The sequence below is a fragment of the Homo sapiens genome, chromosome 14 (assembly GCF_000001405.40).
Source record: "Homo sapiens chromosome 14, GRCh38.p14 Primary Assembly".
NCBI classification, from domain to species: Eukaryota; Metazoa; Chordata; class Mammalia; order Primates; family Hominidae; genus Homo; species Homo sapiens.
Window position 1 is genome coordinate 97,660,654 of NC_000014.9, and position 15,027 is coordinate 97,675,680.

Sequence of the window (15,027 nt, forward strand, 5' to 3'; positions counted from 1 at the left end):
TAAGTGGGCAATACCACTGACTTGCTCCTCTCCGATATTCTCATACCCGTTTGCAAAATAGAGGCTCTGAGAAGTTCTCAAAGAACCTGGGTTTCATCTGAGCTTTTCCAAAGATCTTGGAATATGGAACCGCGTTTGTCACTTGACACCTTCTAACAAGTCACAGAACCTACTGTGGCAAATGCTACTTTATTTAAACACTCATTTCACGGTATTTCGGCCTCTGTTGAATCTGCTTGATGCCAGGCACTGAGTTGGGCTCCAAAGATATTCACATACATTCTGTTTCAGAAGAGTTTCAGGTCTAATGGAAGAGACCAACATATAAGCAATTTTTAAAAATGCAGTGTGATAATGTTTTGAAGTCATCCAGCAGAGGACATTTGACTCATATGGGGCAGGGTTTCATAGAGGAGGCTATGGGTAAGCTGAGTCCTAAAAGATGAGTGGGAGATAGCCAGGTGATGGAAGGGACTTGGGAAGAACCTTCTTGAGTTGATTTCTGTGTATTACTGTTGGTAAAGTGCTTGAGATCATTTGATCTATAAGTTTCCTTAGTTCTGACATGTGGGGCAAAGGTACGTTTTCCTGGAATCTTCATGAAGCATTTATGCTTTTGGTCTGAATTTGATCTATGATTCTAAAATAAACTGAGGGCTTTTCTCTCTTTAGTACATCTGCAAGAGTGTCCGTGAGTGCCCGGGCCACAGAAGGGAAGCTGCTTTGGTGTGGTTGATATTCCACTAAGGGGTGGGGAAACATTCCTCACCATCCCCTGCTGGCCTCCCACCCACCACCACATCTGGAATGGCCCATCGGGCTTACCTTAGAAGGACACGAGCCACATCTTGTAGCAGAAAATGCCGTCGACTAAAGCCTAAAGTCTTTGTTTAATGTCTTGACTCTACTCCTTGAAATCTTGGACAATTAATAAATACTTGGAAAATGGGCTTCATGATCACTGTTTTACAAAGTCTCTGGATGAAATCCTGTGGCACCCAGCCAGATGAGCACAGGTACTCAAGTTATCTCAAGTGTTTTAGATCTCTGTCCACTTCCCACTCCGACTTCTGCCTCCTGGAAATTTAGTGGTCTTCGGAATAAAATGGGGATGCATTGATCTATCTTCAAGAATGCAGTGAAGGTCAGATGACATGCTGTATGTGAGAGCACTTTATAAAAAAAAGGGGATAATTTGAGATGTGATTCCATCTTTCCCATGACCCAGGAAGAATTTGAGGGCCTTACCAACAAGATTTGATATATGGTTCTAAGCCCTGGGAAGACCTAGAAGATGTTTGGCTTGGCGAAGTGTGCAAAAGGGACTTGCACCTACTAAGTCAGAAACATGTAACAAGGTCACTGCCTAAATGTTCCTAAGGACAAAGCCCACCGTCTAAACCTCAGCCCTCTTCAAACCCAGTGCCTATGTGTGGGGTAAATAAAGAAGGAACCTGAGCCCAGATGAAACGTGCAGCTGAACCAGGTACTTGGAACCACATAATTATGACCTGGAATGGAAGTGGATGTAGACGTTATACTTAGAGGCTGTTATGTACAAGTGTCTTTGTCAGCAGTCCCTGCATAGGGATTGAAGATTGATTGAGGAGGGTTTTGGGTTTTGCTACTTAGCATGCTATTGAAGTGAGAGGAACATACATGTGAAAGACAGCAGCAGCTGGAGGTAAAAGAGTGTCACTTAAGGCCAAAAATCAGACCAATGACCACAGAAGAGCAAAATGGAACAAAATAGAAGAATATTTACCTGGCTGTGGTTTCTTCATGAGGTTACAAAGTTTTTAAGAGCAAGAAACGGGTCTGAGTCAGAAAGCCTGGGACAGAGGACGAGAGTTACAGGATTGGTATGAGCTCATTCAAGGAATGATTGGATTGACAGATAGATGAATGGATGAATTTGTGTATGTGCTCATAAACAGGCTTCCTCCCTCTCATTGTCATCATCATCACAGTCCTACCAGCTCTTCCCTCTCCCCGAGCTGCTCCTTTCTGAGGTCTGCAATTGGATGGCCCCCTCTCATCATTTGGCTTCAGCTCAGATGTTTAGTTGCCCTCAGGAAGCTGCCTCCTACATCTGTGACCTCATCACTTGCCATTGTCTACCACCACACCTTGGCTCATGTTCCACAGCACTCACCTCTCTTAAGGAATTCACGTAAGTGGTATGTGCTTGATATTTACTGTCTGTTTCCCCATCCCTCAATGGTATATCAACCACACCAAAGCAACAAGTATGGTGATCCTGTTGACTTCTGTTTGTCCAGAAATGAGGACAGTGCCTAACACATGGCAGGTACTCAAGAACTATTGATAGGATTTATAAACTACTGATAGAATTTAGAATCACAGGTCAAGTTCAGACCCAAAGCAACTTTATCAACCTCACATAGTTACTACTTGCAGAGAAGAGAGATCATCCTGGCCTTGGTTCTTTATAAACTTTATTGCAAATTCTTGTGTTGCTTCTGTAAGATAGATGACATTAGCTGCAGCTTATGGATTAGCAACCTCAAAACATACACACACGCACACACACACACACGCACACATATTTGTTTTTCTGCTAGGCAAAACTCCTGGGGATCTCAGAAAGTCCCCAGAAATGTCACAGCCAAGGTCCTAACTTTCTGGGCTATAGGCCCAGCTGGTCAAGAATCCAGGGCACAGGGGACAAGCAGGACCAATGTTTAAGAACATCCCCCTTCCAGGGCCACCGCCAGCTTCCCAGGGCCAGGACTGTGCACTGCACGATATGGCTCACTCCCAGAGGACAGTGTCCTAACCAGAGTCAGATGTTTCAGCTACAGGAGAGAGGCCAGTCTCTATATGTTTGGGAAAACTTGAAAGAATTCTGGAAGAGCCATAAATCTTGAACTGGAGCCTTTTATCAACCTCTAATTTATCATGGTCTCTGAATTACTTTGACTGGAAAAGTCGTAATCCATATGTATTGGAAATTTGGTTGACACAGGCCTGCTTTTCATGACAAGAGCGGTTCTTGACACATGTGATTTAAGTTAAAGAGATTCCACGTGGTGGCGACTTGTCTCTACATCCCTCACCCCTGTGCTGGTCATGCTCATTCATTCAGCAGACATTCTCAGACCATCTCCACATTGCCATGTCTTACATTTGTTTATAGAGAGGCAGGGAGAGAAGACAGTTCTACTCCCAAGACACTTGACATGGAATGAAAAAAATAGAGAAGCAGACAATTACATTTTAGTTTGATAAATGCCAGAGAAGCCAAGCGTGGCGTCTTGTGAGGCCACCAAGTAAGGGCATATGACTAAACCTAGGGCCTCAGAGAAGGCTGCCTGGAAAAGGCAATGCCTCCTCTGAGACTTAAAAGCCTTCAGAAAGCAAGGACTGTATAAAGGCCTGAAGATGATAACATGAAATGGTGGGGAACTAAAATTAGCTAGGTGTGGCTTAAACTAGAGCAGATGACATTGTAGGCATGTTGCTAGGGCCTGGCATATAGAAGGATCTCTTCTCTGAGCTCCAGACACATCCCATGGGCATGCCTCGCATCTGCATTTGGTTGGCTGATGGACCATCTCCAACCTAACGTGGCCAAAACAAAACTCTTGATTCCCTCCCGTGACCATACTTCTTCTCCCAAGCCTGTCTCATGTCAGTTCTTCCCCATCTTGGCCCATGGCTCCACCGTGTGCCTGTTTGATCAGGCCCCAAATCTGGAAGTTAAACTTGTCTCTTCTCTTCCCGTAAACTCCCTCATCTGGTCCATCAGTGAGTCCTGCTGGTTTTACCTTCAAAGCACACCCCAATCTGTTTATGTGTCACCACCCTACTCTACCACCCTATCCCAGGCTTCTATCTGCTCTTATCGACTTCCTGTAGGTATTTCCTTTATAGGACTCTGGATTCCTTAGCAGCAGGAATGGTGACACAGTCATCATAGTGTCCCCAGCACTGATCACAACTGCTTGGATACATGACTGCTTGTGCACCTTTGAGACTATTTGAAAGTCATAAAAAATTTCAATTTACCTTCAGTCCTTTCTCATACGTGTTTGGTAAAGGCAGGGTAAAAAGCATAAATGGCAAATCCTCCCAATTTGGGAATATCCCTGTGTACCAGCTCCTAAACCCTGTGCTAAGGACAAGAGTGTTCAGGGACACAAGAAGTGACCTTACGGAGCTTAGAGCCTAGTGGGCAAGGCAGAGGAACAGCCAGTCATAACAGAATGGGAAAGGACTCTAATGAAGGTCATGGTGGGTGCTGGCAGGCTTGGCTCAGGGGTACCTACTGTGGCTTTGATGAGGTGAATCAGCTGCAATAGAGAAGGTTCTTGGGGCAGGAGATGCGGTGGCAGTGTGAGTTTGGGGGAAGACTCTGCATTGATCATTTTACATCTCTTTAGTGAGGATGACCACACAGCCATTTGCTTTTTGTGTCAGTGCGATCATTAGTAACCTGTCCTCCTCCTCACTTTTATTATCTAAACTGTCCCTGTATGAACAATACATTTAATGGCCACCCTATTTGTAGGAGAATATTGTCACTGCCAAGGCACCCACCAGTATGACAGAAGGAGCTTTTTCCTAATGCACTGTGGACTAAAGTAGAACCTTTCAGTTAGAAAAAACTCCCGAAGTCATCCTAAGGCCACTTCCACTGTCCTGTGCACCAGCACTCACTGAACTGGGGAGTACGCATGCACACTGACACCCTAGTGTGTGTGAAGCATCCACAAAACACTTCCAGGTGCAACAGCCCACGGAAAGGAGAGCTCTTTACCTTGCAGATGAAGAAACAGGACTTAAGTCATTTTTTCACAAGGCCACATACTCAGTCCATGCTAGAACCAGCATTATCTGGATTCCAGAGTTTATTCACTTTTCTTACACTCTGTCGATGCTTACTTTGGCCCTTTCTGAGACAGCTAGAAACCAGGACCAAGTGGGTTCGTTCATATGATGCTGGTTTATTTCTTTAGTCTTTCTTACTATTTTTGCTTTGGTTGTTGTTAACACTCTTCCTCCTCCGTAAGTGCCACTAAAGGCAATTTGAAGCCTATGGACATCAGCCTGATTCTGGTTACTAACTACACCCTGACTCATGGTAAAACCTACACCTACCTTTCCAGTTTTGAGAAAAGTAGTTTATTTCGGGCCTATTTGCTTATTTCAGTTCAGGAGATGTGATGGTTAATACGGAGTGGCAACTTAATTGGATTGAAGGATGCAAACTATTCTTCTTAGGTGTGTCTGTGAGGGTGTTACCAAAAGAGATTAACATTTGAGTCAGTGGACTGGGAAAGGCAGACCCACTCACCATCTGGGTGGGCACCATCTAATCAGCTGCCAGCGTGGCTAGGATGAAGCATGCAGAAGAAAGTAGAGTGAGCAGACTCGTTGAGTTTTCTGGCCTTCATGTTTCTCCCATGCTGGATGCTTCCTGCCCTCGAACATTGGACTCCAAGTTCTTCAGCTTTTGGACTCTTGGACTGACACCAGTGATTTACCACGGGCTCTCAGGCCTTTGGACACAGACTGAAGGCTGCACTGTCAGCTTCCTTACTTTTGAGGTTTTGGAACTTGGGCTGGCTTCCTTCCTCCTCAGCTTGCAGATAGTCTATTGTAGAATTTCACCTTGTGATCGTGTGAGTCAATACTCCCTAATAAACTCTCTTTCATATATATTATACATCTATCTTATTAGGTCTTTCCCTCTAGAGAACCCTGACTAATACAGGAGAGAGAAAATTTAGGTTTCTTTCTGCATTGCTGACTCCCCATTCAAGCCAGCAAGAAAGCTAGTCCTAAAGGAATTTGTATAAGGTATGTAAGTTCCCTTTAGTTGCTGACCTTAAAGCTGTCTCTTCGTCCTGCTTCTAAGGTTTCAGAATCTGTTAAACACCACTGTGTCATGCATCCACCAGTACAAAACATGCACCTGCTAAGCCGATGTGTAGCAAGCACCCCACACTTTATTGCATGTCCACTAAGCATCAGGTACTTAGCCAATAACATTGCCTGGCAGGCCATGAGATTCCATTTTATGTATGAGGACAATGAGGCTTATACATTGAGGACATTTAGAGGATGCAGTGACTTGTTTTAGAAGGTCATAGTAAGGTCATAATTGGGTGTGGAACTTAGACATACACCACGAGTTGCCTAATTCCAATCCTGTGTCCTTTGTTTCACATCAGGCTATTTCCATCTCTCCATGAAAGAAAAGAACTCTGCAAAATGAATCAGAAAAAAACCTTGGTTTCAAAGTATTTGAACCCAAGGGACAGACAGACAGATTTGAACCCAAAAGGGACAGATAGAATGGCCTTCCTGGCAGAGGTGGCAAAACAGACCAAGGTATAGGGGTAGAGCTCTCTTGGTCTATTTTGGAGGTGAGCACATTACCTGTTTAGCTAGAGTGTTGCATGTATGCACGGTGTTAGGATGTCTCTGCATGTGTGTAGGTATGCTTGTCCAAGTACATGTGTGTACATGTTTGTATGGCATGAGTAAGTTTTAGAAAATTAAGTTGCAACCTAGTCCTGGAAAAATTATGCACCAGTTAAGCAGCACGTGTTTTTCTGTATTTTTAATAAAGAGCAATGATGATTTTTTTACCTGGAAATGTGATTAGGATGTGAAACTACCAGTAAGGTGACTGCTTTCTCAATTGAATCCACAATCCAGCCTTAAGTTTGGAACTTATTTAATTTGTTCTTGTATAAGCAATTCTAAGCAGTCAATAGCATTCATGTATTCATTCAACAAGCATTTAGTGAATACCTACTTGATGCGGGATACTGTTACATTTCAGTGTTAACAGTTGCAATCTGATAGGGAAGATATATATGTGAATAGAGCATTGCAAAGCAGTGTTTTGGAGTTGATAGAGACAAACATGGGCTATTATGGGCACCTAAAGAGCTTCCCAGCAAAACTGGAGGTTCATTGAAAACTTCTTTGAAGACTTGTTGCATAGGCTGAATCTCGCAGGATGACTAGGATTTAGCCCAGGAATGCAGGGAATATGCCAGAGAGAGGAAACTGAAGAGAGAAGGCACTGGGGAGAAGCAGAGGTTGGGGTGATGGCAGAAGTATTTACTAGTCACTGAAAAGTCAGATGCTTCCCTTTGTAGGTAGGCAGGGCCATGGGACTATTTCTAGCCAATAGGTTGCAAGTAGAAGTGTTGTGTTTCACTTCCAGGCTCCAGCATTTACAAGCTGATGTGAAAATCTCAACCCTCTACCCCCTGCTACTCCACTCATGGAGGCCACATATGGAGATCACAGCAGCCTGGATCACTGAGTCACTGCATGGAGGACATTTTCCTTGGAGAGTCTCCCAATGTGCATAAGAGTTGGGTTAAGCCATTGAGATGCTGAGGTTTACGTTATGACTGGAGCCTAGTATAGTCTATTCTAACTAGTGCAGCAGGTATTGGGATTCTAATGAGTTTGACATTGCCAAAGATAAAAAGTAAGGCAGAGGAAGAAGTACCTGAAAGCGCCTTACCTAAATTCCAGCTTCTTGAACTCATTACTTCCCAACTGATGCTAAAATTCCCTCTTCATCCTCCCCATAGAGAAGAAATGATGTTTGAAGCATCTGATGAAGCAATTTCAGCAAAACTGAAAAAGTGCACCACTTATTTCCAGTTTCTTTTTCTCCCGCATCTTAGCCTACAAATCTTAGTCAGACCCATAGTTGGGCCTGAGCCTTAGCCAGACAAACTTTCCTTCCACGGCACAGGGAATTTTCTTTGTTCACTGCGGAATCATAGGAGCCTAAAACTATGTATCGCATGAACAAGGTACTCAATAAATATTTATTGATTAAGCATCCCAAGGAAAAGATGAACATAGGTGTCCCTGGAGAGAGAGGAGGGTCGCACTGCAAGGTCTGAAGACTCATGTTGATGTCCCAGATGCCTGACTTCAAGTCAGCGCCCCCGTCTCTCTGAGCCTCAGTGTTCATGTCCAGCAAATGAGAATAACATGCCTACCTCCCAAGTTTAAAACTTGACTATCTTATGAAGATGAAAGCTTTCCCAACCCTGCCAATACCTTAATCTTGGACTTCTAGCCTCCAGAAATGTGAGAAAATAAATTTCTGTTGTTTAAGTTGCCCAGTGTATAGTATTTTGTTATGGAAGCCCTAACAAACTAATCTACCCATCAACATAAACTAACACAAACTGTGCAGTCATTCAGCCATTCAACAAATATATACTGACCACCTTCCAAATATACTTATGACCTTGGTAGGCTAGGCTCTGGGCAGAAAAGATAAATTATGTAAGATTTCTTTTTCCTAAAGGAAAATTATTGTCCATGTTTGTGCATGGTCCTGTCCTGATAAAACTGATGTAAGATGATATGAGATGATATATTATGACAATTGCATTCACTCATTCAATAAGTGTGTATCCATGCTTCTTAAAGGATAGGCATTAGAGATATGAGAGAGTGATGCAGTGACTCTGATCCCCAGGCTGCTGACAGTCCCAAAGAGGTAATAATTAGAGCCAGGGCCCTGGACTCAGACTTTGTAGGTTCAAATCCCAGCTCTGCCACGTGTTACCTCTGTGCATATGGAGAGAGTCTTTGGACTATTTCTGTCATGTTGTAGAACTGTTCCTATAGGAAGCTCAAGCTGGCGGGTGTTGTGTTCTTATTTGCAGAGTAATGATGGGCTGTAATTTAGCACACAAAGGCAGCGCCAGAGGCAATGTTTTTAGAATTAATTTTGAATGTTCATACAAAAGACATTTGCAGACACGAGGCCATTCTAGTTAAAGGATGAGGAAAATGGTCCTGTGAGAAGGATCAGTCCTCAGAAGGCCAGTGGCCCACCTATCCAACCTCTTTGTGTTTCAGTTTTCTAGACTGAAAAATTGAAATTACAGTATTTTCCTTGTTCTGAAATATGTTATCATCAGAATTTGGGCATAAACTATCATTATTCTTGCACTTTACACATGAGAAAACTGAGGCAACAGTATGAGTGAATAGGCCCAGGTCACTTAGCTGCTAAATGTCAGAGCACCTGTGCTGTGTGCTTTTTTTTTTTTCTTTTTTTGAGACAAGTTCTCATTGCCACCCAGGCAGGAGTGTAGTGGTGCAAACATGGCTCACTACAGCCTTTACTTCCAGGGTTCAAGTGATCCTCTTGCCTCAGCCTCTCCAGTAGCTGGGACAACAGGTATGTTGTCACCATGCTCAGCTAATTTTTCTTTTTTTTTTAGTTCTATGTCTTATAGAGATGGAGTCTTGCTATGAGTTGTCCAGGCTTGTCTCATGGGCTCAAGTGATCCTCCAACCTTGGCCTTTCAAAGTGCTGGGGTTACAGGAGTAAGCCACAGTGCCTGGCCTGTGCTGTGTTTTGATTCCAGAATCAAATCCACACTCTTGACTGCTAATCGGCTGGGAGAAATGACCTGCAGTTCCTTAAGTGGTAATAGGAAGGAACTGGACATGCAGGATCTTGGTGGAGGTCAGGGAGAAGGATGGGGATTGCCCTCAGTGATGGGAGAGTGTTTATTAATGCACAGGGGATGAGCTCTGAGGACCCTCTAGAACACTGATTCTGTCAGCCCTCCCATTTCTGCAGACACGTGGCCCCACCCTCCTCCACTTCTCTTGCCAAGCAGGATGTGCAGTCGATGCACAGGGATTGGCTCTGCGCATGTGCTGTGTGCTGCAGGGAGAGGAGAGAGAAGTCTCTAGAATCTGTCAGCATCCCTCCAGGAAAGCCTGGTGTCACACTCACCATTCCTGATTTCTTTTGTTAGTCTCAGAATAGTGACTTAGAACAATTATATTCATTTCACAATTAACATTCTTTTTTGGACACTAGCTGAGAAGTAATGGAACCTGGACTCTCCACTTTTGAGGCAGGGCTGACAGCTGAGCGTGGACGTGGATGGTGGGGAAAACACAGCTATGACAGCCTTCCCCACAGTTTAAGGTAACACCTTCCCACCTTCCATTCAGTTTTGCTTGTGTGCTTGTTTGCTTTTGGTTAGAGAACAAAACATTGAAACATTGGCGAACGTATTTTTTTTTATATTCTCATTAAAATAACCCCTGACTCCCGGCTCATTAAAGTCGTCATGTTAGCAAAGATTCCCTCAGGACCTGAAATGTTGATTCCGACTTCGTTGCATATGGAGGTAAATTAGTGTGATCTGTATAACTTATTGAGGAATTTGCAACTTTAGATTCAAACGTGTCCCATCTGTTCGGCCTGGCCTGTTCTTCTGCCCCAGGGCTTGAGACAACACCCTCTTTCATCCTCTCTGTCGGCTATGGGATTTGATGCTGTGTCTTGTCCTTGATGTTCCTTTAGAAACTGAAGATGTCCTGGCCAGGAGCGGTGGCTCACGCCTGTAATCCCAGCACTTTGGGAGGCCAAGGCGGGCAGATCAAGAGGTCAGGAGATTGAGACCATCCTGGCTAACACAGTGAAACGGCGTCTTTACTAAAAATACAAAAATAATGAGCCAGGCGTGGTGGCGGGCGCCTGTAGTCTCAGCTACTCGGGAGGCTGAGGCAGGAGAATGGCATGAACCCAGGAGGAGGAGCTTGCAGTGAGCGGAGATCAGGCCACTGCACTCCAGCCTGGGTGACAGAGCGAGACTTCCTCTAAAAAAAAAGAAACTTAAGGTGTCCTTAAGACTCCACTCAAACTTGGCCCTCTTCTGTACTGAATTGAATAGTGTTTCCTCAAATGTTTATGTCCAACCAGAACTGCAGAATGTGAGTTGATTTGGAAATAGAATCTTTGAGGTGTAAACAAATGAAGATAAGACTTATTGGATTAGCATAGGTAGGCTCTAATCCACTGGCTGGTGTTCTCATAAGGAGAGGGACATTTGGACACAGAGACATGCTCGTTCAGAGGGCAGGCGATATAAAGACAGATGCAGGGAATGCTGTGTGAAGATGGGAGATGAGTCCACAAGGTGGAAATGCTACAGACAGCCAGAAAACCAGCAGCTACTAGCAGAGAGGGGTGGGGCAGATCCCTCAGCCTCCAATAGTACCAATCCTGTGGACACCTTGATTTCAGACTTCTCTCCCCAGCTGCCAGACAATGAATTCTGATTGTTTTCAGGCACCCAGTTTGTAGCTGTTGGTTACAGCAATCCTAGGAAATGAATGCGCCTTCTTACCAACTAACAGTGATGGCCTTTGGTCTCTGAGTGGCATTCTTACTACTTTCCAGGTTCACCTCTTCCTAGGAGGTCAGCACTGCTCAATGACTTGCTTCTAAACTCCTGAAGACACTGAGGCAACATTCCCTCCCTCTTAGCCAAAGCCTGGACAACTCATCTCACTCTGCCTTTCTTTGTGTGTCTCTCTCTGAATATGTTTACCCTGCCTCCCGTTACTTGAAACCCATTTCAGCCAACATCCAAAAGCCCTTATGATGTGTCAAGCACAGGACCAGGTGCGGTGGAAGTAAATCTGGTGTCTGGAAATGTTTATCATAATGCAGGCCCCTTCTGACACCACAGAGGAAACACGACGACCCTTCCTTTCCATACCTGACACGGCAGTCTAAAATCAAAGGTCTAATGATCATGCATTAGACATTGATGTGGTTTCTCCATTCTGTTTTAATCATGAGTGTATTTGCAAGATGCCATAAAGAACCTCTAAGATGGTGATGATGGTCAGAGGTGGAATAGGGAAATACAGCACTCTGTTATCTTGTAGTCTTGAGGTAACTCCCTTTTCCTAAGGTCTGTTAGCAGTCAGGGCTTCTAGATCAGATGTAATGATGGGGCAGGTTCCAAATAGTGTACATTCCCCCCAATTGAGATATAGGAGGGGTCTTTCTTTTAGGACTTTAGGGCACACAAAGAGAGCGCTTGTGCCCTTCAGGGTTTGAGAGGGTATCCTTCTCAAACAGCTGTCAGAAGAGGAGCTGGGAAGGCTGTGAGAGAGGCAGGACAGAGAGGGGCTGAGGAAAAATAGCCACCAGAAGCAGGCTGGTGTTTGGAGGCAGAGCCAGCTGGAGATCAGGAAGAGTCTTCTACCAGGTGGGCAGCTGTGTGTCTGGAAGTGGTGACAGGTGGCACAGGCCAGTGACAAGAAGATAGCCATGACTAGGGGTTGGGTCTTGAGTAGGACTTGGTTGGCAGGAAGACCCTGAGGATGGGACACCTGTGGGTAGTCCATGAAGAGGACCCAGGCAAATGGACGGGCATTCAGGAGGGGAGAGCTGCTTCTGGGTGGGTGGCCTCCAGTTAGATGATAGAATGTGGGGCAGGAAGGAGATGGGCAATAAGTAAAAAGACTCTCAGGTGACATGGCTCTCCCTCTGGCAGCCCCAGGCCCTGCCTAGATGCCAAGACCCAAGAGACCACCCCCTGCTTACAATGGGAACCCGCTACAGTAAAAGAAGTTCAAGGGCTACCATACAGGGCTTGAGCGAAGTTATAAGATTGCAGTGTAGGATTTGGGAAAAGGGCGACAACTTGGGAAGATGCAAAAGGAAGCCTTCAGAAGCACATGAGGCAGCCACCATCAAGGTTAGCCTTGGGCTTGATCTCCAGAGACTCTGCCCAGAATTTCAAATCATTCTAGATCAGCAGCAGGATCTAATGGGGGCAAATGAAAGTCAAATGGGCAGAGTTTAGGGCACAGCAGAGCAGAGGCACTCACCCAGTTAGGCCAGTCCAGCTTCTGAGATATCTTATTAAGAGTCCATCTCTGAGGGAAAGCAGGAAGAAGAAGAAGAACGAGAAGGTGGCTGCCCCACCACTGTCTCAGTGGCTTCTGAAAGACATTGTAAAGAGTCATGATTGACCCATTGTAAAAGGCAACCATATGGTGCATTAAACCATACGGTGTAATAAAACAAACAAACAAACAAACAAACAAAAAACCCAGACATAAATAACAGAGAAAATAAGTTGCATTAACTCCTTTGCATTTTGAAAGTGATAGGACTATTAAATGTATACATTTCTATAAGCCTCTGAGAGTTAAAGATCAGCCCCAAAGGGGAGGCCATGGCAGGATATTAAAAGTTTAATGAGGCGCAGTTTCAGAGGTGTTAACATTTGACAACCAGAAACAGCAGTAGCCCCAAACTTATAATCTGAAACAGACAATAAATGATGGACAAAGGTTGCTTGCTTAGAGCAAGGCTCTGACTGCAGGGATGTCCGAGAAAAGGAGAAATTAGATCTGGATGCTAGGCTGGGATATGAGCTAATAAAATGCTTGGCTTAGGCTTCTTAGCCTTAAAATGTAGTTTTGTGGCCAGATGGAAATAATAAATAGAAACAATGAGCTCAGTGCTGGGCCATGGTGGGTACTGATGGTAGCTGCATAGACTGGGCATCAGAGTGAGTGTTATCACATTTTTGCTAGCATTAAGTAGTTTCTGAAACCAGGAAGGCTCAGAGGGGCTGTGTTCTGTACTGTGCAAAGTGATTCTTGCTATCGCATTCATTAAACTTTCTGTAATAATTTGATTTCACCAAACTCAACCGTGGAACAGCTCACAGTAAAATAAGCCTGACTCAGATCGTTCTAATGAAATCACCCCTACATTAAAGAGATTTCAGTATCATTTCTGGAATGCATCCAGGGGGCTGATTTCTAAGGAAGAAGGAAAAAGGGTTTTGATGTGTCAGAAATTCAAATGAAGGAGTGGATGGCAAGATGTCCAAAAAGGAACAGCTTTGGTCTGTAGCTGTCAGCAAGATCAATGCAGAAGGCAGGTGATTTCTGCATTTCCAACTGAGGTATCCAGCTCATTGGGACTGGTCAGACAGTGGGTGCAGCCCACAGAGGGTGAGCCAAAGGTGGGTGGGGTGTCACCTCACCAGGGAAGCACAAGGGGTAGAGGAACTCCCTCCCCTAGCCAAGGGACACCATGAGGGACTGTGCCATGAGGAACAGTGCACTCCAGCCCAGATACTATGCTTTTCCCATGGTCTTCGCAACCCGCAGACCAGGAGATTTCCTCAGGTGCCTACATCACCAGGGCCTGGGTTTCAAGCACAAAACTGGGCGGCCATTTAAGCAGACACCGAGCTAGCTGCAGGAGTTTATTTTTTCATAATCTAGTGGTCCCTGGAACGTCAGTGAGACAGAACCATTCAATCCCTTGGAAAGGGGTCTGAAGCCATGGGACCAAGCAGTCTTGCTCCATGGATCTCACCCCCACAGAGCCCAGCAAGCTATGATACACTGGCTTGAAATTCTCTCTGCCAGCACAGCTGTCTGAAGTCGACCTGGGATGTTCGAGCTTGGTGGGGTCGAGGGGTGGAGGGGGATCCACCATTACTGAGGCTTGAGTAGGCGTTTTCCCCTCACAGTGTAAAAAAAGCCACAGGGAAGTTTGAAATGGGCAGAGCCCACTGTATCTCTGCAAAGCTGCTGAGGCCAGACTTCCTCTCTAGATTCCTCCTCTCTGGGCAGAGCATCTCTGAAAGAAAGGCAGCAGCCCCAGTCAGGAGCTTATAGATAAAACCCCCATCTCCCTGGGGCAGAGCACCTTGGGGAAGGGGCGGCTGTGGGCACAGGTTCAGCAGACTTAAACATTCCTGCCTGCCGGCTCTGAAGACAGCAGAGGATCTCACAGCACAGTGCTCGAGCTCTGCTAAGGGACAGACTGCCTCCTCAAGTGGGTCCCTGACCCCCATGCCTCCTGACTGGGAGACACCTCCCAGCAGGGGTCAACAGACACCTCATACAGGAGAGCTCTGGCTGGCAACTTGTGAAGGCCCCTCTAGGACGAAGCTTCCAGAGAAAGGAACAGGCAGCAATCTTAGCTGTTCTGCAGCCTCCGCTGATGATACCCAGGCAAACAGGTTTCTAGCAAACTCCAGCAGATGTGCAGCAGAGGGGCCTGACTGTTAGAAGGAAAACTAACAAACATAAAGGAATAGCATCAACATCAACAAAAAGGACATCCACTCAAGATGAGAAAAAAAAACAGTGCCAAAAGGCTGAAAATTCCAAAATCCAGAATGCCTCTTCTTCTCCAATGGATCACAACTC

General features: G+C 45.2%; 2 long non-coding RNA genes and 1 other non-coding gene across 4 annotated transcripts in view; 1 reads left to right on the forward strand and 2 right to left on the reverse strand.

Moving 5' to 3' along the window:
* The window catches only part of LINC02291 (long intergenic non-protein coding RNA 2291), a 54,012-nt gene that overhangs the window by 28,007 nt on the left and 10,978 nt on the right, over nt 1–15,027 (reverse strand). Inside the window, exon 2 of the long non-coding RNA NR_033943.1 lies at nt 12,676–12,789. This is a non-coding gene — a long non-coding RNA (long intergenic non-protein coding RNA 2291). The remainder of the gene's footprint in view (nt 1–12,675; nt 12,790–15,027) is intronic.
* Nucleotides 171–5,256, reverse strand: LOC124903377 (uncharacterized). Its single transcript, XR_007064325.1, has 2 exons — nt 826–5,256; nt 171–304 (listed from the first exon to the last, which is right to left on the reverse strand). It is a non-coding gene; the product is annotated as an uncharacterized LOC124903377 (transcript).
* LOC105370650 (uncharacterized) overlaps nt 1,978–15,027 on the forward strand; it is a 25,973-nt gene continuing 12,923 nt past the window's right edge. Inside the window, exons 1-2 of one of the 2 annotated variants that reach the window (XR_944183.3) lie at nt 1,978–2,180; nt 9,860–9,970. This is a non-coding gene — a long non-coding RNA (uncharacterized LOC105370650). The remainder of the gene's footprint in view (nt 2,181–9,859; nt 9,971–15,027) is intronic. The other variant, XR_001750867.2, reaches the window with a different exon arrangement.